The 24,941-nt window shown below is 44.2% G+C and overlaps 1 protein-coding gene across 3 annotated transcripts in view; it reads left to right on the top strand.

Moving 5' to 3' along the window:
- Window positions 1–24,941, top strand: part of CA10 (carbonic anhydrase 10) — a 529,711-nt gene that overhangs the window by 486,037 nt on the left and 18,733 nt on the right. For all 3 annotated transcript variants that reach the window (NM_001082533.1, NM_001082534.2, NM_020178.5), the window contains 2 exons: window positions 20,251–20,346; window positions 24,733–24,805. In NM_001082533.1, coding sequence (NP_001076002.1) covers window positions 20,251–20,346; window positions 24,733–24,805 — 169 coding nt within the window. The remainder of the gene's footprint in view (window positions 1–20,250; window positions 20,347–24,732; window positions 24,806–24,941) is intronic.

Genomic DNA, 24,941 nt, shown 5'->3' with positions numbered 1-24,941 from the left:
AGATGAACCTGGGGGGGAAGGACATTCTAGGAGGAGGGGAAGGTGTGTTTACAGATACAGATGTGCAAACAGTCAGGTCCATGCAGTGGCTTGGCATGGCCGGCTTATGTGGGCTGGGCAGGGAGGTGAATGGTGAAGCTGGAGGTCATGGTGGGCCTTTCAGGCCGGATAAAAGAGCCTGGACATTTCCCATAGGGAACTAAGGTGCCACTGAAGGATTTCGTTTGCAGGGAAGTGAAATGTTTAGACCTAGAGCCATCACAATGGCTATGGAGAGACTGGCTTCGAGAGACATAAGGTTGGAAGCAGCAAGACCAGTTAGGAAGTGATGCAATAATAAGGTGAGAGTACTTGAGGCCCTGATCTGAAGCAGTAGCACTGGGTATAAAGAGGACAGCAATAGTTGCAAGAACCATGAAGTGTATTACAAAAATTCACAGAACTTCATGACTAATGAGCTCTCATGAATAAGGAAGACAAAAGAGTCTCAGTAGGCGCCCAAGTCTATAAATATAGCACTGGGAGGATGATGGCCATGTTAGAGGGGATGAAGGAAGAGGAGGAGATTTGGAGTAGAGTTCAGGGTGGCAGGATAATGAGCTTGACTTGGAATAGGCTATTTGAAGTACAGAATTCCCACTGAGTGCTCATAAGTCCTTCTTGCATAGACACAATGATTCACTACAACCAGCTGAGGTATCTGCATGAATTGCCTGGGGCCATCCCTTGGCTCTACCATCTGGGACATCAAGGTTCCTGCTTACCAAATGCCAAAGGAGAATGAACTCAAGAGAGGATCCAGGGCTGGCTGGGGCTAGGGGGTTCATTTTCTCATCACTGCTCAACCCAGCTCTGAATTCATGGACCAAGAAAGCAAAGAATGGCCCTTTCCTGAAACCATCCAATGTGATAGGCATTAAGGCCACAAGACTGTTCAACTCAGAAAGACCAACAAGAGAGGTGTGTGTTTTGTCTCAGCCAAGACAGAGTCAAGAAAATCCATTTCTTGGGCATGCCTTGGAATAAACTAAGTTGGTGGAGTTCTTCCAAGTCTCCCCTCCTGCAAAGCCACTGGAACTCCCTCCCCACTAGAAAGCAGCCAGAGCTCAGGGAACTCATTTTAACTTTTCCGGGAGAAGACTGAGACTGGCAGGGTGAGGGATCTGGGCTGGTAGAATTCATTTATGTTCAATTCAGCTCCCCTGGGCAGATAGCCCTGGCATGGGAATCAAGAAATGAGCTTTTTCTGAATTTCTGAAGCCCTTTCTGAGACACTGGAGAGGACTCTTAAAATAATGCAGGCTATCTGGAGTTCACTTTCATTCTGGCTTCTGGTTAAGAGCCAGGATCTGATATTGGGCTCCTGGGGTCCAAATTCTAGCTCTTCAACTTATTAGAAAAGTGAGATATTGGGTAAACTACTTAACCTCTAAGTTTTGGTCCCCCGGCCCCCCACCACTCTGCAAAATAGGGGTGATGAAAATGTTATTACCTAACCCCACAGGGGATTCATTGGGAGGCTCAAATAAGATAATGCTTATAAAACACCAAGTACAATGCCTTGGTGTTGTACCCAGTAAATGTTAGCTGCAATACTGTACTCACTTAGGGCAGCTGATCCCAACCCAGGTGCTAGTTACTCGTTTGCAAAACAGTGACTAAAACCATGGGCTGCTAGGGAACTTTATAGCGCTAGCATGCTGTGATCCTGTACACACTGGGCATTGAGCCATCATCGTGGTGGTGGTAGCAGCAGTAGTATTGTTTGTGTGTGACGATCTGTGTGTATTTGGGGGAAGAGGTAATAAGAAATGTGGGAATATGGGTAACTTAAGATTCTTGAGTGCCTATTGCATGTCTGGTGGATACTAGGTGTTTTACATGCACTAACTTATGTAATTCTTACAACAACTGGGGAAATAAACAGTATTATCTCTACCCTAAAGATGAAGTTCAGACAGGTTAACTCAATGCCCTAAGTCACAGTTATGAAGTGGCAAGGCTAGGGTTAGATTTGTAACTCTTCTTACTACTTACAGGCTATGGAGGAACTGCTACAAGCAGAGAAGCTATCATTGAAAGCACAGTCAAGCCCATATTTTAATGTTACTTTAATGTTACAAGATTTCAAAAGGAGGAAGACAGCAAATTCATACAGGAAAATCCAGAAGGCCAGCATGGAGGAGATAGCAATTTAGGAGGGGCGTTCCACTAACAGAAATTACAGCCAAAACAATGGCCATTCCTGGTAGAGACAAACCGCATGGATAAAGACCCAAATGTGGCCGGGCGTGGTGGCTCATGCCTGTAATCCCAGCACTTTTGGAGGCCGAGGCAGGCGGATCATGAAGTCAGGAGATCGACACCATCCTGGCTAACACGGTGAAATCACGTCTTTACTAAAAATACAAAAAATTAGCCAGGCGTGGTGGCGGGCACCTATAGTCCCAGCTACTCAGGAGGCTGAGGCAGGAGAACGGCGTGAACCCGGGAGGTGGAGCTTGCAGTGAGCCAAGATCGCACCACTGCACTCCAGCCTGGGCAACAGAGCGAGATTCCATCTCAAAAACAAAAACAAAAACAAAAAAAATGACCCAAATGTGTGAAACTGTGAGTCATGTTCAGGGGGCATCAAAAAGCCCCTTCAGCAGTAGGTGTATGTTGTAAAGGAGGAGGTGAGAGAAGGCTGGAAAAGTCAGGATTGGACTATGGAGAACCCTGAGGGACAGCTCAGGGCAGGGAGCCTTGAAGGTGGGAAGGAGATAGCATTAGCAGCCGGGAAGAGCCAAAGGCCGGCCCCCAATCAGAACCTGCAGGAAAGGGTTAGTGCTGTGCCTGGGGTAGCTCCTACCTAGAAGACAGAACCTGAGACTTAACAGCTGACAGATACACCAAGCCAGCTGTGCCTATTTCTCCACAGCTGACATGAAGTAAAACACTAACTATAGGAGTGCAAGGGGACTTCATTCCACAGGGGTTCATTTATTTAGCCACCCCCTAAGTCTGATTGACAATCCCAAGTCCCAGAGCACTTCCGTCTATTAGAGGCCAGATAACTTAGTGCTTAACATTTTGTTTTTGGCATCAGACACAAGCTCTTGTTCTATTAAAAACTGTGTGACCTGGATACATTACTTAGCATCTCTAAGGCTCAGTTTCCTTAACTCTAAATTGGAGGTGATAAGGTTCTCATACGTCGATTTTTGCAAGGATCAAATGAGATAATGCATCAGAACAGGCTAACACAGCCCTGGCTCACATTATAGCCCAATAATGTTCACTAGAATTCACTAGTGGTGGTGTTACTCATTGTGGATATAAGAGACAAGCACCTGGAAACTTGGGGAAGTATGGATGCTACAGATAAATCCAGAGAAAGAGCTGGAATGGAGCTCAGGGATCACTGAACCCCTCAGCCAGGGCCCAACAAGAGAAGATTAATTCCCCAGATTCACGCATGAGTTGGTGTCCCAGAGATTCCAGGGGGAAAAAAAAAAAAGGAATGCGGACCCAATCAATCAGGGAAGCTCCCCACAATCCTTGGTGAGAAAGCCCACAAACCAGGTCTAACATGTGGCTCTGCCTTTTACTGACTGAGTGAATTCAAGCAAGTTATTTCACCTCCCCCACTTCAGTTTCCCCATCTGGTAAATGGGGACAGTAATCCCTGCCTGTACACCTGTTGTAAGAACTGAATGAGATGACCTCTGTAGGGCATTGAGGACCCTGCTGGCACATGGGAAACTCTCCTTAAATGGTAGCTACTATAATTCTTTTAAATTGAAGGTCAGGCAAGGGTCCATTTTCATGCTGCTGAGACTGGGTAATTTATAAAGAAAAGAGGTTTAATTGACTCGCAGTTCCACGTGGCTAGGGGAGCCTCACAATCATGGTGGAAGATGAAAGAAGAGCAAAGGGAACATCTTACATGGCAGCTGGCATGAGAACCAAGTGAAAGGGGTTTCCCCTGATAAAACCATCAGAACTCATGAGACTTATTCACTACCATGAGAACAGTATGGGGGAAACCACCCTGTGATTCAATTATCTCCCACCAGGTTCCTCCCACATGTGGGAATTATGGGAGCTAAAATTCAAGATAAGATTTGGGTGGGGACACAGCCAAACCATATTGTGTCCAAAATTGGCGGGTTCTTGGTCTTGCTGACTTCAAGAATGAAGCCACAGACCCTCACGGTGAGTGTTACAGTTTTCAAAGATGGGGTGTCCAGAGTTTCTTCCTTCTGGTGGGTTCGTGGTCTTACTGGCTTCAGGAGTGAAGCTGCAGGCCTTTGCAGTGAGTGTTACAGTTCTTAAAGGTGGTGCATCTGGAGTTGTTCATCCCTCCTGGTGGGTTCATGGTCTCGCTGGCTTCAGGAGTGAAGCTGCAGACCTTCGCGGTGAGTGTTACAGCTCATAAAAGTGGCATGGACCCAAAGAGTGAGCAGCAGCAAGATTTAGTACGAAGAGCGAAAGAACAAAGCTTCCACAGTGTGGAAGGGGACCCGAGAGGGTTGCCACTGCTGGCTGGGGCGGCCTGCTTCTATTCCCTTATCTGACCCCACCCACATCCTGCTGATTGGTCCGTTTTGACAGAGTGCTGATTGGTGCATTTACAATCCTTTAGCTGGACACAAAAGTTCTCCAAGTCCCCACTAGATTAGCTAGACACTGAGCACTGATTGGTGCATCCACAAACCCCAAGCTAGACACAGAGTGCTGATTGGTACATATACAATCCTCCAGCTAGACATAAAAGTTCTCCAAGTCCCCACCCGACTCAGGAGCCCAGCTGGCTTTGCCTAGTGGATCCCACACTGGGCCGCCCGGCAGAGCTGCCATCTGGTCCCGCGCCTGCACTCCTCAGCCCTTGGGCAGTTGATGGGACCGGGCACCACAAGGCCATGCGGGAGCCCACGGCGGGGATGAGGTTGCAGGGTCTTGGGCATGGCAAGCTGCAGGTCCCCAGCCCTGCCCCACAGGGAAGTGGCTGAGGCCCAGCGAGAATTCGAGCTTGGTGCAGGCAGGCCAGCAGTGCTGGGGGACCTGGCGCCCCCTCCACAGCTGCTGGCCCAGGTGCTAAGCCCCTCACTGCCCAGGGCCTGTGATGCCGGCCGGCCGCTCCAAGTGTGGGCGCGCTGAGCCCACGCCCACCCAGAACTCGCGCTGGCCCACGAGTGCAGGCACAGCCCTGGTTCACACCTGCGCCTCTCTCTCCACCCCTCCCCACAAGCAGAGGGAGCTGGCTCTGGCCTCAGCCAGCCCAGAGAGGGGCTCCCACAGTGCAGCAGCGGGCTGAAGGGCTCCTCAAGTGTGGCCAGAGTGGATGCAGAGGCCGAGGAGGTCCCGAGAGCGAGCAAGGGTTGCTAGCACATTGTCACCTCTCAATATCAGGACAGTACACCGGACAAAACAGCAGCTTGACCAAGTCTACAGATCGAAATTAGACTGTGTTTGAGAATCAGAGACCTGAATTTAAGTCTAGATCTGTTGATAAACAACCGAGTGACTTTGGGTCCTCAGCTCCTCCTGTCTGAAAGACAGTTTCAAAGCATCCTGGCCTAATTCACAGAAGGGCTATTGTTTGGGTTCAGAAAGGAAGTGGGCAGGAAGATGCATTGTAATTTATAAAGCTCTGCCTGCAAGAGCTGGGTTTCTCTCTCTCTCTCTGGACTGAGAAATGCTTGAGGCCAAGACTGAGTCTCTTCTTGAAATCGCCCCTCCCTGGTACAGTAGCTGGCATGGCATGCATGCCACCACTCTGTGGATGGGAACCACACTGTACCCACTCGCCCTTGGGAATGCCTCAGACTCCGGCTACCCAAGGGATAAAGACCTTTCCCTCTAGCTGACCCAGTTCTACTGGAAACAACCTTTGCCCTGGCAAAAGACAGAGGCCCCAGAGGGAGCCATGGTATTTGGGGGTAGACCCTTTGCTGAATGGTTGGGCCTGGGTTACAAGGATAGGGAGGAAAGAATGAAAAATGGAATCTGCCCCAGAGAGATTGGGACCGGTGGTTTCCAAGTAAAGCCACAGTGCTCTCACATACACACAGATACACTTGGAATGGATATTGAAGTCTTAATATAGAGTGCCCACACGCCTGTTCCCAAGTGCTGTCAGCAAAATGCTGTCTCTGTTTCCCTCCCAGAGCATATTTTGGAAGCTTAGGACAAGGGCACCATCTGGACTTCCCTGCAGTACAGTGAGAGTAATTTGGCTCTCCCTCCTTCTGTCTCCTTTCCCCACTGTCACCCCCAACTCACCTTTCAGTCACAGGACCAAAGATCCCTCTGTAAAACAAAATCCACTAGGAGAGAAAAGAATCAGCTGCATCCTGCACAGAAGTGACATTCAATGACCACACAGAGTGCAGCAGGAAGGATGTTCTAACCCAAGGTCATTTTTTTTTTTTTTGCTTGCTCAGCAGAAATATGTAGCACAAGGAGCTATCAATCATTCTTCCAATTTACGGATAGGGAAACTGACTTTCCTAGCCACAGCCCTCCATCTGGGCAGTACACACACATATATACCACAAGGGCTGTTTTAAACTGGGTAGGAGGTATTTGGGATTGACATCATGATGGAAGTACTGCAAGCAGTTAGTGGGAGTGGTGCAAAGGTTCTAAAGGCCCTGCAAGCAAGGGGCAATCACACACAATGAAGACTTGCTCAGACCCCACTGTCCATTGACCTCTAGCAACACTGTCTGGGGAGCAGGGGGAGAGCTGGATTCTGAGATTTAACTTGGCCCAAAAGCCCTCCCATCAGAAGTCACAATTCCTTTTTCAATGTGGTGCATTCCTGTGGCTCCCTCCCTCCTATGTGGCATGTAAGAGCCCATAAAACAGATCTCATTGTCCTCTGGCATTTGGCTTCATTTCAAATTGCAGCAATGGGCTGGAATCAATATGACTATCCCTGGATTGTTCAAATTAGTTCCTGAATCATTGCTTTTATACTTTTCCACATAAATGTGGGTACTTTCTTGGTATTTGGTTTTTCTTGCCATTTATTTTCCAATAATTGGATGAAATGTGTCTTGTTTCTTGGAATAAGCTAATACTTTCCTGTGCTTGCCAAAAGTTGTTTTGTGCTCATTAGTCATCTTTTATAATCTTCTTGGGTGCTTTTCCCAATTTTTCAGAAGCCTGTGTTGGGATCTCCTATTCCCTGCAATCTGAATTGATACATCATTTTCTTATTTGCTTTTTTATTTTAAAAAATCACTAAATAATTTGTGGTGCCTTGTATAGTTAAAATATTAATACTCAGATATTCAAATTACTTTTAACTTGTCAAGTACTGGCACATGAGAGAGGTTATTAAATTTGAGTGATATGATTCCAGGATTAGGAATACCTGGCTCACCAAGAACCTGGGCAGGCTCTGGAAGGGCAGGAATAGGGGAAAGTTGGCAGGCAGTTGGTAATGTGATTTCTGGAAGAATCAGACACCACATTGAGAAAAGGCGCTACAGTAAAGGGTCACTTCCCTCTAGAGTTTTCAATCGAGTGTCAGAAACAAACCTGCTGTCATCAACATTCCCTACCCCTGCACGTACAACCCCCTTCTCCATCTTCAAACTTTGGATGACTTTCCACTGTTCTGAGGATAGACAATATTCTTACCAGGGTCTCCAAGCATGAATGTGGTCTGTCCTTACCTTTTTCTCCTGGGTCAGCCTACCTCATTCCCCTTCCCTTCTGGGCTCCAGCCTCTTCCTCTTACACATGGTCTTCCATGATGCTACAGGACACTTGCATATGTGCCTCCTACTGCCTCTAAGGTCTTCCCTCTTTTCATCTCCTCATGCCCAGCACAGTGCCTGGCACATGGGAAACACATACGGGTTTGTTGGAAGAATCAATGAGTGAAGGTTTGAGATATTTTGTTTTGTTTGGATTTGGTTTGATTTGACCTAAGCACGATCAAATGAAGAAACCAGGAGTCACAAAGTGGCTGCCAGGAGACCCTGGGACTAAGCTGCACATTCATATTTTTTGGCCATGGCCTTTGCCTAGCCTTCTCCTCTGTTGAGACAAGCAGCCTGGTCCCATAGTCATCCATTTGCAACCCCAGGCATAAACATGCTGCCTACTGAAACTTTGGTTTAAATATTTGGTTTCAATTCTACATACAGTCACATACCACCTAACAAGATTTCCTTCAATGACAGGCTGCCTATGTGACAGTGGTCCCCTAAGACTACAATATCGTATTTTGATTGAGCCTTTTCTACGTTTAGATACACAAATACTTACCACTGTGTGCAATACAATTGCCTATGGTATTCAGTACGGTAACATGCTGTGCAGATTTGTAGCCTAGGAGCAATAGGCTATACCATATACCATCTGGGTTTATATAAGTACACTCTATGATGTTCACACAATGACAAAATCACCTAATAACACATTTCTCAGAATGCATCCTGGTTTTTAAGCAACATGTGACTATAACTTAATTGACTTTGATGGAAACTCAAGAGGCAACATCCTATATTTCCCATCAGTGTTTTAGAAGAATGACAAAACCCTGTCCTTAAAATCTCCATGTTTTCCAGATAAAGACCCTGAGGTCTAAAAGGGAGCAGTGACTCACCGAGCACACCTACCTACTGAATGACAGAGCTGTCATTCAAACTCAGCCCCTTTGACTCCCAGCCCTGTGCTCTTTCTAATATTCATCCCCTACAGTCAATCCACTGCGGGTTTAATGGCTTTGAAATAAACCAGTGTGTGTTTCTGCTTATTAAGTATCATACTTTATGCAATTAATGTGTACAAAACCAAGCCTAGTTTTGTGAACAGTTTATCCAAATCGCTGCGCAGCTTCATTTATGAGAGGAGAGAAAACCCTCCTCTGTTATCTAATAGATGTTATGTGTCTAATTTTCCATGAATATATCAGTTAGGACAGTAGCCACCTAAAGTGACTCTTCTGAATTAACCCTGAGTGAATAAGATGGCTTTGGCAAGCAGTGTGTGAGGATTCAGTCTTTCCTTCCTCCAGGATGGGGACTAACTGTGAAGTGAGCTAGAAAAGTCTTCTCCGTCAACCCCTTGGTGTGCATCTACTGCAGGTACTGAGAGTCATTGCCCCTGGATATTTGAAAAATCACATTCCTCTCCAATTTAGTTATATCTATACCAGTGAAGCTATAAACTTTTATGAATAACTATAAGAGGATAAAACTTCGCATTGTGGTCTCCCGAAATATCATTCAATCACATTGCCCTCTGGACACCACATTGCTGAAGCTTTCAGAGCCTTTCTCAGCATCACAGAGACATGCTTTGGCCTGAATTGTCTCATGATCATCTAGAAGCTGTCTTCCTTGTTCACTCCAGAGCTCAGACCTCAGGCAAAAGACATCCCAGGCATCAGGTTGAAGCATTAGATTCTATTTTTTTTTTTTTTTTGTATACTTCATCCATTTAAGTGAGAAGTAATTCCACTAAAATGGATGTTAATTTGGTTAGCTCTATCTAAATACAGGTACTCCATATTGAGATGTTCATGTCCCTTTTTTTCTGCTTCATTCAATTGATGTGCTAGATCACATTGGAAGATTTCTCCAGCATTGATTTACCCTTAACTCCTGATATGAGCCCTACTTGATTGTAATAAATTATTTTTAATGCTGTTTTCCACTAGCTAGTATTAATTTTGGCTTTTTGCATATATGATCGTAAAAGATATTGGCCTATTTTCCCCTCAAATATCTGCTGGAATATACTTATAAACCCATCTAGACCAACGCTTTTTTTTGCGTAGGAGATGACCAAAAATAATTCTTGCCTTAACTCAAATGAACTACATAACATTAAATCTCTACAATAATTAAAACAAAGCGAGCCTTTATTAATACTATTTATGTGGGCTCTGGAATGACTTAATATTTAACAAAAATGCCCTACACATACCAGTACAGTGGTTCTCATGGGACAAACTCTTCCACAGAAATAGCAACAATCCTAAAAGAGAAAAGGTATTTGGTATGAGACATGTTCAGTATATCTATTTTCATAATACAAGAATACGAGCTACAGAAAGAAAAGACTGGCAAAATCTTCTTGGTAGTCATCTGACAATAAGATAAAGTAAGATGCAAATGTGAATGATATATGGACTGTCAAGAAATACAGTCCCAAAGTGTGAATGGCCTGACTTTGTTGTTATCTATGGAACTTAACACGTCACTTCATCATTCTAGGGCCTCTCCCTTTATCAGAGCCCCAGCAGCCAGACATTTCTAATAATAATCACTGCAACTCCCATTTAATGAGGGCTTACTTTGTGCCAGGCACTGCATTTGAAGCCTCCTTTATCCCATGTACACCTGAGCTCATTTACATGTTTTGGTTCATTTAATCAGCACGATTATTTGAGTGGTTATGTTGTCATCACAGTTTTGCCTGTGAAGAAATTGAAGTTCAAAGAAGACCAGAAGACCCAGGACTTGGAGCCAGAGCCTAACTCTCCTCATCCATGCCCTGTGTTGGGATGAGTTTGAGGTTGCAGGAGCATGGGGAAGAAATAGGCTTAACTAAAATCAGCAGAAGTTTCAAAAGGACCTGCAGACCTCATCTCTCATTCTTGGATGGTGGCAGCCACTGCCTACAAGTCACTTCTGGGAGGATCTAGACGTCGTGCAGGAGGCTCATCCCACTCTGGCTTTCAGCAGCTCCTTTATAAGAAGTTGAAGGATGCGAAGGCCTGGGGAAGGAATCGAGAAAAAGTGGTCTCGAAACGCATTCCAAGTTCCGGGAAAAAAAAAAAGCATCACGGAACTTCCCTGATTCTTTATGTGTTTTATCTCATCTGTTTATCTTGTTTACTTATACCCTGCCAAGTTCCTGAAAGACTGTGTCATTATCTTGTTTCACTCTCATGACAATTCTTAGATAGATGCATCCCTATATTATGCATAAAGAAATAATCAGAGGGGATAAGTAGCCCCACATTACTTGGACAGAAGAGGTATCTGACTAGGCTCAAGGTCTTGCATTTTCCAGCATGATCCTGCACCCAAATATATCACTCTACATTTGTGCAAACTCCCATACAACTTGATGAAAAACATGCTTTAAAATCCAAGTTGTGTTATCTTTTGGGGGAAAATAATTACATTCCATGCTGGTTTTCTAGGTTGGTATGATAGCCAGACCACATTTGGGGATCTTCTGTCAATGAAACTATGGAAAATTATTTTTATTTTTAGCCATAATTGCATTCCATAGCCTACAATGCAGAAAATCTCATCACCGGACAGACCCATGATAGTTACCAAACCTTAGGGTGAGAATGTGGTGGCTGGTAAACATCAAACTGTGTTCTTCTCTGCAGACTGTGTGTGCTCTTATGCATGAAGACAAACTTGTTAATGACTTTCTATAAATAAGTTCTAGCTTATAGTTGTTCCAGCAAAAGCTGCTGAAATGTGATCTCCCCTCAAATACAGAACACCTTTCCTTTTCTCTTTACTTTCCTGTAGAAAGAAACTATTTGCATATGCTAATGTGAAATGAATAGTCACTGTCACTTTTTGTCTGTGTGACCTCAGAAGAGGTGCTTAACCTCTCTGTGCCTTAATGTCTTCACTTCACCTATTTATTTTAGGAACAAATGTGGTAATATGGGTGAGCTGTTTTAGGCTATGGAATATACAGCATTCATCTCTGGACTTCTGGGATCTGGCATAGGGTGGGCATTTGGGACCTATACGTTGACTAGAATTCAGCTCATTTGAGTTGAATATGCCTTGAAAAGTTTAAAGGACTATATAAAGGTAACAATAGTAATCATCATCATTTAAAGGAAAGGGAGAGCTTAATGCTTAGGTTCTCTCAACATGTATTTTCCTATCTGTATAGAACACTTACTGGAAAATATATGACTGGAAGTTCTTTATTCATCTCCCAAATTTAAACTAGCAGCGGTCAGAAAACTACAGTCACAGACCAAATCTAGCCTACGCTGTGTTTCTGTAGCTTTACTGGAACCCAGCCACGCCCATTCTTTTATATTTTGTCCATGACTGCTTTCATATTATAAAAGCAGAATTGAGTAGTTGTGACAGGTACTATACAGTTGGCATAGAAAAATATATTTACTATCTGAATCTTTACAGGAAAAAGTCTGCTGACCCCTGAATTACAGTATGAGCCATTCGGAATGCATTTCTCTTTAAAAGTTCTCGCCTCATTCAGTGTCTGGAACACAGTGGGTGCTCCCCAATAGGTGACACCTTCCTCAAGTTTCCTTGGGAGAACAGACTCAATGTCGGATCCACAAAGGAGACCTGCACATACCTAACCCCTATTTCTGCAGAAGCTGAAGGCTGTATTATCTATTGCTTGCATAATAAATATTGCATAACAACAACAATAGTAGCTTACTATGGAATGGTTACTGCATGCCAGGCCTTGGGCTAAGTGCTTTTTTATATTCGGTTTTATAGAATCATCACACAGTGCTATGAGTATTAGTTATGAATTATTACTATCCCTCTTATAGATGAGAGACTTGCTCATGTAAGGGGACCCAAGGGTGAAACCAGGCTTTGCAACCCACGCAGCCCAATGTGATACTCAGTGTCTTGGTTCCCATTAGAGATAACCTTTGGAATTCCAGACTGTTCTTTAACCAGTTCAGCCAAGCGCCTTGTTCTCTCTGTCCCTTGGGACATCACACTTCATTGTACAATAGACAGCCTGCATTGCTTCATTCATTAACAATTATTTATTTCTGCCTTGATACAGTTAATATGTACCAGGTATAGGAGATGTCACAGGGGCCAATAAGATAGAGCCCATGCCTGGATGAAGCCTAAAGTCAGTCTAGGGAAAGAGGTGAGCATTCATCAGTCACACAACGAATGTCAAGCTAAAACTGTGATATGTATTTTGAAAAGTACAGAGTGCCATGACAGTGGATCATGGGGATCTCCCTCAACAGGTGACCCTTGAGCTGAGATACAAAGGAGTTCATAAGTAGGAGTCAAACAGTGAAGGGAGGGAAGTTTATTCCCTCCCTTCTCTGTTTAAGGGAAGGGAAGCATAAGAAACAGAATAAGCATGTGTTCTAGGAAAGGAGGAAGCCCAGTATATAAGGGAGGCTGAAAGAAAGACACTGAGCAGAGCACAGAAAACAAGGACACATGGTTAGAAAAGCCAGGGGCCCCAGATGTGCATCTTTATGTTACAGGCAAGGGGAAGCCACTGAGGTGTTTAAGCAGGGGTAAGGTGATAGCATTGTCACTGTGAACGCCACGTGTGGTCTTCTGTTCCAAGGCTGCTCTTTTGCGCTCACAAAAGGGCTTCTGCTAATGGAGCATCACGCTGAGAAAGGTGATCTAAGGTCTGAGAACACAGCCTGTTGCCCTCCTGAGGCATGAGGGGTGAGTGAGCAGCCCCCGGCATGCACTAGTGCATCACCTTGCTACCACAAAATGAAAACTCTGAGACCTGTGCAACTGAAGCTGCTCCCAGCTTAACCTATGACAAGTGTGGCTTGTGTCAACTTGGAAGCCTGCTTGCAGCAGGTCTGCTTATTTAACACAGAGGAGTACTTGTCTGTTAGCTTGAAAGCTGAGTTACCGGTCACCAAAGGCCAATGGTTTTCAGGCTTCCACTTCAATTAAGTGCATAGGAGAAACTTTGCCTCTGGTCCTAAGAAAATTCTAGGACATAAGTGAAATTCTTCGTTACCCTTAGGATGGAATCAAGACCCCCTACCTTGGCCTGCCAAGCTCTCCATGGTCTTCTCCTGCCTTCCAATACAATTTCTCCTCATATCACCCTCCCTTACTTAGGAGTTGTTCAATAAACACATGTTGAATGATTGGATCTATGAATGACTGTATAATCATGGGCAAGACATAGCTCCTCTTTGATCCTCATTTTCTTCATTTTTAAAAGTCATGGGCTGAGAACTAAGACCTTGATTTTCTCTAAGACCCCTTCTAAGATTCTATGAGATGCAGAATTGGTATTCATTCAGCAAATGCTTGCCAACATCTCCTCTGAGCCAAATCCCATCACCAGGGATGTGATGATGGATATCCATGCCCTTGAGATGTTTACCCAAAAGTAGACACAGACTCAAAGAGAATAGTTTCAAAATAGCATGTGCTTGAGTATGAACTCAAATAGTCACAGGAACTGGGCACAATCCCACCTCTGCCACTATCTCTCAGAGGCTTGGTGTCCCCATGACTCAAATGGAAATAATGGCACTAACTCATAGAAGTTTTCAAGAATTAAATGAGTTGTTTCTGCTGGCATCGTCTCTCACACAAAGAGGTGTTCGACAAATGTTGGTAATGATCATCCAAAGTGGTGATGATGACTAACTTTAACAATGATATTCAGCACTCATGTGACTGTACTGGGCGTCTATGGTTTACATCTGTTCTGATCACCCGGTACCCATCCCATTTTGGTTGCAAAGTATTTTGAATTTTGATTAGTCAGGGTTCTCCAGACAAACAGAATCAGTAGGCTATATACATAGATATATAAGAGGAGATTTATTGTGGGAATTGGCTCACAATTATGGAAGCCAAGAAGTCCCACAATGTGCAGTCTGCAAGCTGGAGAACCAGGAGGTGCTGATGGTGTAATCCCCAATCCCAAACCACAGGGAGAGAGGTGGTCGCTAGTGTAAGTCCCAGAGTCTAAAATCTGAAGGCCCAAGAACCAGGAGCTCTGATGTCCAGGGGCAAAGAAAGAGGGATGCCCCAGCTGAAGGAAGAGAGAATCCTCCACCTTTTTATTCTATTCATACCTGCAATAGATTGGATGTTGCCCACCCTCGCTGATAAGGCCAGATCTTCTTTACTCAGCCTACTGATTCAAATGCTAATATCTTCTAGAAGCACCCTCACAGGCACACCCAGAAATAATGTTTTTCCTGCTGTCTGGGCATCCCTTTGCCCAGTCAAGTTGCCATATAAAATTAACCATCACAAATTTGCCTCCTGGGTGAGAGCATCATGAGAGCAGAAGGGAGCTGCACTTGGTGTTCAGAGACAGTGTTTCATGGAAGGTGTCCTGGAGAAGGTAAGACACAAAGAGAATAGTTGCAAAATAGCATGTGCTTGAATGTGAACTCAAATAGTCGCAGGAATTGGGCACAATCCCAGCTGAACTATGAGGTAAAGAAGGGTAGGCAAGGCTTCCTCAGTCCCCACTTTGCCCTCCTCCACACCAGAGAGATCTTTCAAAAATGCACATCAGATCAATTGGTTTCTTATTTAACACCTGTGACTTCCTATTGTGTTTGGAATAAAATCAAAGCTCCTCACCATGGTCTACAAAGCCTTGCATGAACTGGTCCCATCTTGAGCCACCTTCATCCTTTCCCAGCCATTCCTAGCCGCTTGTCCCTATCTCAGGCTCTTTGCATTGGCCGTGTTCTCTACAAGTGATATGCTTCCCTCTGATCTTCCCATACCTGGCTCCTGGTCATCAGGATTCAGCTCAAATGTTAGCCTACCCAAAGACTTTTCACCAACCATACTACAGAATGTTGCCCCCACTTCTGCATCCTCGCCCCCATTCTTTCCACTACTACCTTTCAATCTGTAAGTAAGTCAAAATCTTGTTTTGTTTCCTTCAAAGCTATCTTTGCCACCATCTGAAACTATCTCTAGGAGGACAAAGACCTTCTCAGTCTTATTCCAATTGACCTCAGCACATAGTTGGCCCTCAAAGATTTTTTGAACAAATGAATTCCAGGCCCATGTAAAGGATTGAGGTGAGGTGGCCTTTCTGAAATGAGAAGTCAAGTCACATCAGATCATGGAGGACTTCTTAGATATAGAGAATGCACTGCATCATGGCACCAGCCATGTGGGAGCATCATGACAAGACTGGTAGTATTCTCCCTGGAAGACTGCCTGCCATTTCTCAGTCTTGCATTTCCAGGAAGCTTCTCTAGGAGGATACTCGCCTAAAACTAATTTAAAAAATCAAGATTATTAAATAATTTCCAGGAATCCAGGTTTAACCCTTTCACATGGTAATGCCAACTAAACTAGCAGAAGCCCTCAAGGCATCTCTTTAATGAATAGCTTAAATTCTTGAACTTGAACTTGGTGTTTAATTAGCATGTCATCATTAGCCCCCGAAGAGTTTGCTCTCATTGTCCCTGCAGTCTTAGTCAAATCATGCACTTGCTCAGACAGTTGAACAATCACTTATTGATCATCTGTTTCACATCAGACACTGTGATTACTCTGCATAAGCCTTAAAGTTGGGGCTCAGTTAAGGTATAGCTTAGGGCCCATCTAAATTATTCAAAATTCAGACTTTATATGGTTGAGATTTAAAAGTGTTACCTATACATGGCAAAAAGAAATCCATCCACAGGCATCACTTTCAGAACCCATCTGCCAATCTGATACTCTGTCCCTAGCAGGATGTGGTTTGCACATTGCTGCTCCCCAAGCCCAAAGTCATGGTAGGAGAAGCAGTGAACCCTGCTTTTCTCCAGACCCACCTGGACCCATGCATATTGTGAGTGGTTAGTGGGTATTGGGTTAGCATTATTGTGCCTGGCTAGGGAAGAGCAAAGGCAACAGCTGCAGGAACTGTGATCACCACCAACAAAGACCTGGAAGGCAGTAGAAAGGAAGCAGCACTTTTTCATGGTTAAGACCTGCTGTTCATGCATGAACTGATACAGGTCCCAGGTTATCTTTGATGCCCAAACTGTGTTCTTACAGCTGAGAACAAAAAGCCTGGTGACTGTCAAGCTGTCTCCTGTGCTCTTCTGTTGCTCCTAGATGTTCTGTTGCCTGGGGAAATCTCCTGGTGCCTCTTCAGCACACAAACATACACATTCTGTAAACTGCAAAGGCCTATAGAGCACATCTCTGCCTTAATAACCATCATCTGAAATTAAATACCCCCCAACCTCCACCTCTATTTTCTCCTGGCTCCAATCTACCCTCTTACAGTCCATGCTGATTATCTCATTCCCCTGCTCAAAGCCTTTCTATTGCTGACATTCCAGGGGTCCTATGATCTGGACTCAGCCTGTTTTCCAACATAGGTGATGCATGTGCTCCTTAACCCACCCAAATTGAAGTGGAGAAGGGGTAAACAGCCAGACAAAACAGGACTCTGCTCACCAGCCAACAGTATCTGCTATAGCAGCACTTCTGAAACTTTAGCGTGCATCCAAATCACTAGGAATTTGAGAAAATGCAGATCTTGATTCAGGAGACCTGGGATGGGGCTCCCGATTCTGCATTTCTAACAAGCTCCTAGATGCTGTGGCTGCTGCTGATCCCTAGAGCGCACACTGTCATCTTATTAACATCTGACTGGGGGTCAGAAAGAAAATGCTCAAAACTCATATTCAAAATAGCTTTATTTCTAGAATGTATTAACTATAAATTCACCAGTTTTGTAAAGCAAAAGATCAATTTCATGTGGTTCAACCTAACACAATAGACAGTCCATCAACAACTACTAATAGAAACCAAAGCTCCTGATATCAGAATCCTAGCCAACTCACCTTGGAACAGAGAGGAGGCATGACTTCAGATCAAAGTTTTAAATGTGTTAACTCAAGCTTAAAGCACAGCCTCAGCCCTGTACTTGCCAGCTCCTTTCTTACAGTTCCTGGCTCCCAAAAGAACCCCACCCTGAGAGGCAGCCCATGGCCCAGGAGACTTCTTCCTGCCTTTTTCTGCCTTGCAAGCTGGACAGAAGGATCACTCCACTGGATTGCCTTTCATGTCCCTCCTCTGTTCAGAACATGCTTTAACTTCAAGGCATGTCTGGAAGCACTGGCACATCCCCTGGCAGTTTTGTTGGTCACCTGTATCAGTGGGAAGAAGTTAGCAGATGGCAGGGTGTGTTTTGTTCTCATTAGAAGCTTACTCAGCACTGGAAGGGAGGTGTGCTGAGTGTGTGAGAACCCCCCAGTCCCTGGTTCTTCCACCACCTGGCAACATTTCTCCACCTGCAGAAAGTCCTGGTTGTGTGGGGGTACAAGGGAGGGGGGATTAAAAGTCCTGCGGAGGCAGAGCAACGCCTGGCCTGCGGTTGCCTTTCTGATGGCAGAGTAGCTACTATAGAGTCATCCATCTCCACTGGCAAAACTCATAGGTGAAAAAGCAATAAGCAAATAGGATATTTCAAGAGCAGCAGTAACATGTGCTCTCTTCATGAGAAGTTCCTCTACACCTCAGGAGGCTCAGGATATTCTCAGATTCAAGGTACTGTCCATCTGACTAGGCATTGATGGGATATTAATGTTCATTGATTATGTTCCACTTGTTCTGAAGTCCAACTTCCCTCTAGCTGGTAAGCTTTTGATGAATACAAGTATCATCCCAAATCAATTAAATCAGAATGTGAGAAGGCATAGACAGGCACAGGTGGGCTTTAAAAGCACCCAGGTGATCTGGATGCACAGTGAAGGTAGCAAACCACTGGGTTAGATATGGTTTCTTTTTCTCAAAGTTCAAGGAAAAGCATCTTTTTTGATCATCACATTTCTCAACTTCTAAAACTTCACCTTTTTTAATGCAATTCAAGATATTGGCAATAATGAGTACTCTCTTACACTTTCAGAGTCACAAATCACTTCTACATGCACTATCTTATTGGATTCTCAAATCAGCCTGTGGAAAATGCTAACACCATTACAGAAAGATATATGATGTGCTTGCTGTGACATTGTTTATAAGAGACAAAAAAATGGAAACAACACGAAAGCCAGCGAGAAGATGGTTAAATATGTTATGGGTGTTTGTGCAACTGAGAATTCTATAGTTATTTGGAAGACTTGGGGAGATCTATATGCATTGGCTTAGAAAGATAGCTACAAACTACTTTTAAATTTTAAAAAATCAAGTTCAGAATCATAATTATTAATCATCCCTTTCTGTTTTTTTAACAGTTACTGTGGACTAGGGAATTTATTATTTTTTATACGCTATGTGTGTTTGTGTGACTTATAAGCACAAAACAAGTAACCACAAGGATGTACACTAAACTGTTAATAGTTGTATGTATAGCATGGACTAGAATTAGAAAGAGGTGGTGGGGGGGGCATCACGTTTTTTACTTCTATATTTTAATTTGTTAAAAAATTATGCTTCTGGCCGGGCGCAGTGGCTCACACCTGTAATCCCAGCACTTTGGGAGGCCAAGGCGGGTGGATCACGAGGTCAGGAGATGGAGACCATCCTGGGTAACATGGTGAAACCCCGTCTCTACTAAAAATACAAAAAATTAGCCTGGCGTGGTGACATGCGCCTGTAGTCCTAGCTACTTGGAAGGCTGAGGCAGGACAATCACTTGAACCTGGGAGGCGGAGGTTGCAGTGAGCTGAAATCGCGCCACTGCACTCCAGCCTGGGTGACAGAGCGAGACTCCAACTTAAAAAAAAAAAAAAAATTAGGCTTCCATACTGTTAAGAAAAAACTGTTTTAAAATCACAGCCCTGAGATGATGAATTTTAAGGAAAGATCATCATATCCATTTTTCAGAGGAAACAATTGATCCCAGTGATGTGGGGTAACTTGATCATGTGGCTAAAAATTGCTGGAGCATCTGTTTGAACATATATGTATGTTTATACACGATTTTTAAAAATGAATTTAAAAAAATTAAGTAACAGGAAAAAGGCTCAACAGGTGGACTGATCCTTATTGAATGAGGAGGAAATAAAGTCCTACACAACCAGATGACCGGGACAGGCTGGTGCATCAGAAGCCTGATCCATCAGCTACTACTGCATCTTGCAGGCTGGCCAGTTTCATCCCAGTCATGGCTGACTCAGGACCTAACAGCTCCCTGTTTGCTCCGAGGCTGCAAGGAAGATTTACTGGCTGCCAGTGGCAGCTGTTGGTGGTGCAGCAGGGACACAACATCCACCCCTACAGGGCAGTTCCGTTCCTAATAAGGAAAATTCACTTTACACACGCTTTAGGGGAAATGTCCTGGGATGGAGCCAGAGCCAGATGGGCTCTGAGCTTATGAAAAGCATGCTTGTTACCAGAAAACATTTGCAAATATGTATGGGTATTTTTGTGTGCGTGTACATGCATTTTACACACATATGCACACACATCCCTCTGAAATCCCTTCAATTAAAATTGTCTTCCAAATTGTTCCTCAATATACTTTGCAGTTCACCCTTATGTAGGGGCAGGTGCTATGCCTCATACCTTTTAATGTTGGATTATTGTTCTGATTCTTGTTTTTCCCTCCTGCCAGGTGCAGCTCATCCACTATAACCATGAGCTATATACGAATGTCACAGAAGCTGCAAAGAGTCCAAATGGATTGGTGGTAGTTTCTATATTTATAAAAGTAAGTCTCTTGCATTCCTTCATTCTTCTCACCATCCCCACCTCAATCAGAATACCAATTTACGGTCTCTGTTGGAGTTAGAAATATTAAAAGGGGTGCTATCCATGCCTAAGAAAACTATGGGATGGTGCCTTTTATATACATGAGATTTATGAAAAATGAGGCCCCCTGCAGTGAGATGCAAAAATGATAATCTCCATTTCAGAGCATCTGGGCCTGAGGATTCAAGCAGCTTCTGTCCTAGAAAGAAAAAGGGGGCTAGATCCAGGGACAGGCTTTAGGACCCACCTAATGCAGTGAAATCAGAAGGATATAATACTAGAAGGGTGGGTGGCTCACTAATGCCCCACAGGATTAAAGTCCTGTTCACCATTCAGCTGCCCCTTGTAAACATAGGAAGAAGTGAGATGTCTCTCCCCTCCAGGCACTGCACTAAATAGCTCCTTCCAGCTTCCTCACAATTGCTCTGAGCATCATCTTTCTCTCTCGCTCTCCCGTTCCTTCATAAGCCTCCCTGGTAATAAGATTACCCACACTGACTTTATGACATTTTGAGGAAACTCCACATCTCCCTAACAGTCAACAACGACAACATAAAATCTCCAACCAATCACATTCTAATTTGTTTAAAAAAAAATACTAATTACCTTTAACATTTTAGCAGATGTAGAGAGAAGCAGGTATGCAAATTTTTTAATAAAAAAAGAAATTGCTTTTCTAATTAGAAAAATAAAAATTAAAAAAAAGCAATGTGTGGCAGTTCCAAACATTAGCAGTCACCATGCTAGCCCCTGGGGATGTTTTGGCCAGATCATTAGAGAAAGTGCCCCAATCGGAATTGGGAATCTGATGGAGATGATCAATAGATCAAAACTGCCACCAGGGAATTTTAACAGGGCTGTCATGATGACATCATTATTACTCAGAAGAATGGGCACCTGGGGCACTGATCCCTCTCCCCGCCCCCACAAAAGAATTACCCCGTGCCATAGGCACTTCACCCTCCCTGGTCATCCATGCCATGCCCCCTCCTAACTTCCTCACCCTCCCCTTGGTCAGATCAGGGCAGACCTATGCACTGGGCAGGGGCTGGATGGGGCATCCATGGCATGTTGCTATCCCTGGCCACTAACCTCAACCTCCTCTGGTTTGTCATTAACAAAGAGAGGAAGGGACATTTGGCCAGGGAAGCATATTTTTAGGCTTTCATGCCTTTGTGATACTTGACATGACATCTCAAAGGAAACTGGTCCCAGCACAGATTCTAATGGTATCTCCTGGCATCATCACAAACCCTGGAATAATAAACAGTAGATTTCTGAATGCCAGACACTATGATATGTATTTTACATCTATTTTGTTGTTTAGTAATAAACTCAGAGGTTGAACATTCGTGTTGTATCTTACAGATGAGTAAAATTATTCAGAGAACCTTTGGGATTTCACCCAAGTTCATGTCGCTTATAACAGCCCAGCCAGGAGAGGATCCAAGTCTTCCCTGACTTTAATACTCATGAAAGAATGGCTTACTCATTCTATGCCTCTCCAATAGAGCTGGGAGAGAGCAAGTGAGGGCAAGAAGGGAGTACATGACATTTTAAAACATTCTTCCCACACTCCCCACAACCCCATGCTACTCATAAGCACAGGGCAAATTCCTGTATCTCTTAATCAAGCCCTGATTATGGCATTGATAACCAATTTGTACATTCAACCTAGGCTGCACTCACTGTGAAGCCGTAGATAGGTCACAATATTGTCATGTGTGTCCAGGAGCTCACTTCCCCCTATGACTTTCCCAGCACAAATCCTGCCTGCCCCAGCAATTCCTGTCCTTTGGAGAGTGTCTCGGCCTTGGTCCTGACTTTACCTCATGTGTCTGAAAACTTGAGTCAGTGACTGTCATTCTGGAGGCACAGGCACATGACAGCTGACAGAGTGACGGATACACTGGGAAGCCAACAACAAATTACTGGTGTGTTTCACAAGCTCCTACAGAAATGTTCATTCCTACCGAGCTGGTGACTAGCAGCTGGGGTTTGCAAGTCCTAGTTGCTTGCCCACAGGCTGTTGAAAGAAACTTAGGCTGTAGACCCTGAGGTCAGTGAAGGGATAATAACTAGCTCCTGCATCTTCTCAGGTCAGTTTAGCTCCTAGGGATGAAGCCATTCTTTCCCTGAGCAGACCTGAAACTTTCTTGCTAGATCTCAAAATAAGCCACAACATTTCTGTCTTCCCTCCATATAATCAACTCCCAGAAAATCAACTCCACCATGAGTTATTTAAGCTGTGACTGACCATTCACTCATCTCAAAACTCTGATGGAGCATGAGGTACTACAGGCCAGCCCTCTGCTAGGCACTGGTATCCAGAAGTAAGATGAACAAAGCTCTTGGTCCCTAAGGGTGCACAGCCTCTTGTAGTTGTCCTCCCCTCCTTCTGAACTCTCTGCCTTCCCTTCCCAGCAGGGTGGGCAGGAGTGGGATATGACAAGCCCCACATCCTGGTAGTTTAGTCCTAGAGTTATCACCCTGGCTAAAAGCTGAGCCGTAGAAAAGCTGGAGTTACTCTCTAAAAGGAGATACTTGCTTATCTATGAGTTTTATTTATCTCTGTCCTCCACAAATCCCCCACCCTTGCTGTGACCACAGGGAACTGAGATTTGGCTGTAATTGCTGCTCAATCACACACCATTAACTTCCCACTTAAGCTCACTTATACCAAGTACATATTTTATCCTCTCACCCACGCAGCCAACACACTAGAGCCCACAAATCATCTGTGTGCACTTTGGAAATTTTTCAATTATTTTTAATCAGCTCAAAATGGTCTGCTCCCAACGCAAGGGCTGACCAGACTCACCAGGTACCAGGAGCTCAAGGCACCCAGGAAGTAAGGTACATAACAGATTCCTTACCTGCCACGACAATATATTCCTAGCCATCTTTCTTTCATGGGGTGCATCAGCACCAGGAGCAGGCTTCAAGCTATCTTTTAAATGGCTGAAGAGGATGTCAAAGTAGATGTTGAATATAGCACTGAGGGGAGCAGCAGTATTCAATTTGGGACTTTTTCTATTTAGGGATGGACTTTTACCTCCACTGGGCATTGTCACTCACCAAGCTCCCTTTGGTGTGTGTCTCACCACAACACAGCCAGGAAACCGCAAAAAGGGAGACAGATGGAGGGAAAATAAACAGTCTGTGCTTTCTCCAAGCTAAAATTACCTGTTGCTTATCTAATAATAATAATCATCTGCTGCAATTTTTCCAACCCTCAGATAAATCAGATTTAAAATGTTGATGTGTCACAACATCCGATTAGCCACTGAGACATAAATTACAGAGCAGAGCTAAGCAAGGTAGGAGAGAAATGACTAGGATGAACAATGGTACCCCAGAAAAGGCTGAGTAAACAGGTGTTTTTAAGAAAACCCTTTTCTTATGTAGGGCCACATCACAGTCTCATCAATGATGGTTCCCTGCTGAAGCCCCTGGAAACCTGGTTTCTTCTCCCAACAGAGGAATTTGAAGCTATAAGGGCATAGGCATAAAATGGGAACTGATCCCTGAACATCTGGTACAATGTTTGGCCCATAATAGACCCTCTGCAAATATTTATTTGTTGGGTGGGTGGCTGGCTGGCTGGCTGGCTGACTGGCTGGCTGGATGGATGGATGGTTGGTTGATTGAATTACATGGCTTATGATATACTCAATTCATGCAATAATGAGCAGTGATACTTTTCAGTTTTTTTTTTTTTCCATTTCCTTATACCTCTATTCTGGGTACTCTTTATGTCTCACCCTCTACGTAGATGAATTTCCCCTTCCTAACATGTCAGTCCCTACCTTGCTTAAAAGCCTGACATGATCTGGCCCCTGCCAATCTTTCTAGGCTCACTTCCTATCCTTCCCCATACCCTCAGCTCCAAGTACACTGAAGTCTTTGCATGAGCATGCCTGGTTCTCACTTCCCCATGTCCGTGTATGTAAAGATTTTCTGTATGAAATGCTTTTCCTTGCCTTTCATCCCTTTTCACACTCTATCACCAGAACGCTTTGTTAACTTCTACCCATCCTCTCAGACTCATGACTTAGATTCTCAGGTGGTGGCTGGTCTTCCTCCAACATCATTACACCAATGACTCAATCATAGCACTCTTCACACTATATGAGAACAGTTTGTTCACTTACCTGTCTTCCTCTCTAGACTGGGCTGTCCTTGAGAATAGGGACTCTGGCTTTGCTCTCTGAATTTGCAGCTGTCATTGTGTTTGGCTCATGGTAGATACTCAGTAACTATGAATGAATAAGTGAATGTCACGGGGAGATGTTTGTCCTGCAAGAGTGATGCCCAGTCATTAATATTTTCTTTTCTCCTCCAGGTTTCTGATTCATCAAACCCATTTCTTAATCGAATGCTCAACAGAGATACTATCACAAGAATAACATATAAAAGTAAGTTTGGTTCAATTTCCTCCACAGCAACTATTCTATAAAGGTTAGACCTGCCTGAAGGCGGGAAGCCAGAACTGATGATCTCCATGGGCCCTTTTCAGTTTCATGATCCTGCAGTTCTGTAGAAAGTCACTCT

The sequence above is a fragment of the Homo sapiens genome, chromosome 17, assembly GCF_000001405.40.
Source record: "Homo sapiens chromosome 17, GRCh38.p14 Primary Assembly".
Taxonomy (NCBI): Eukaryota; Metazoa; Chordata; class Mammalia; order Primates; family Hominidae; genus Homo; species Homo sapiens.
This window is presented reverse-complemented; position numbering and strand designations above follow the sequence as displayed.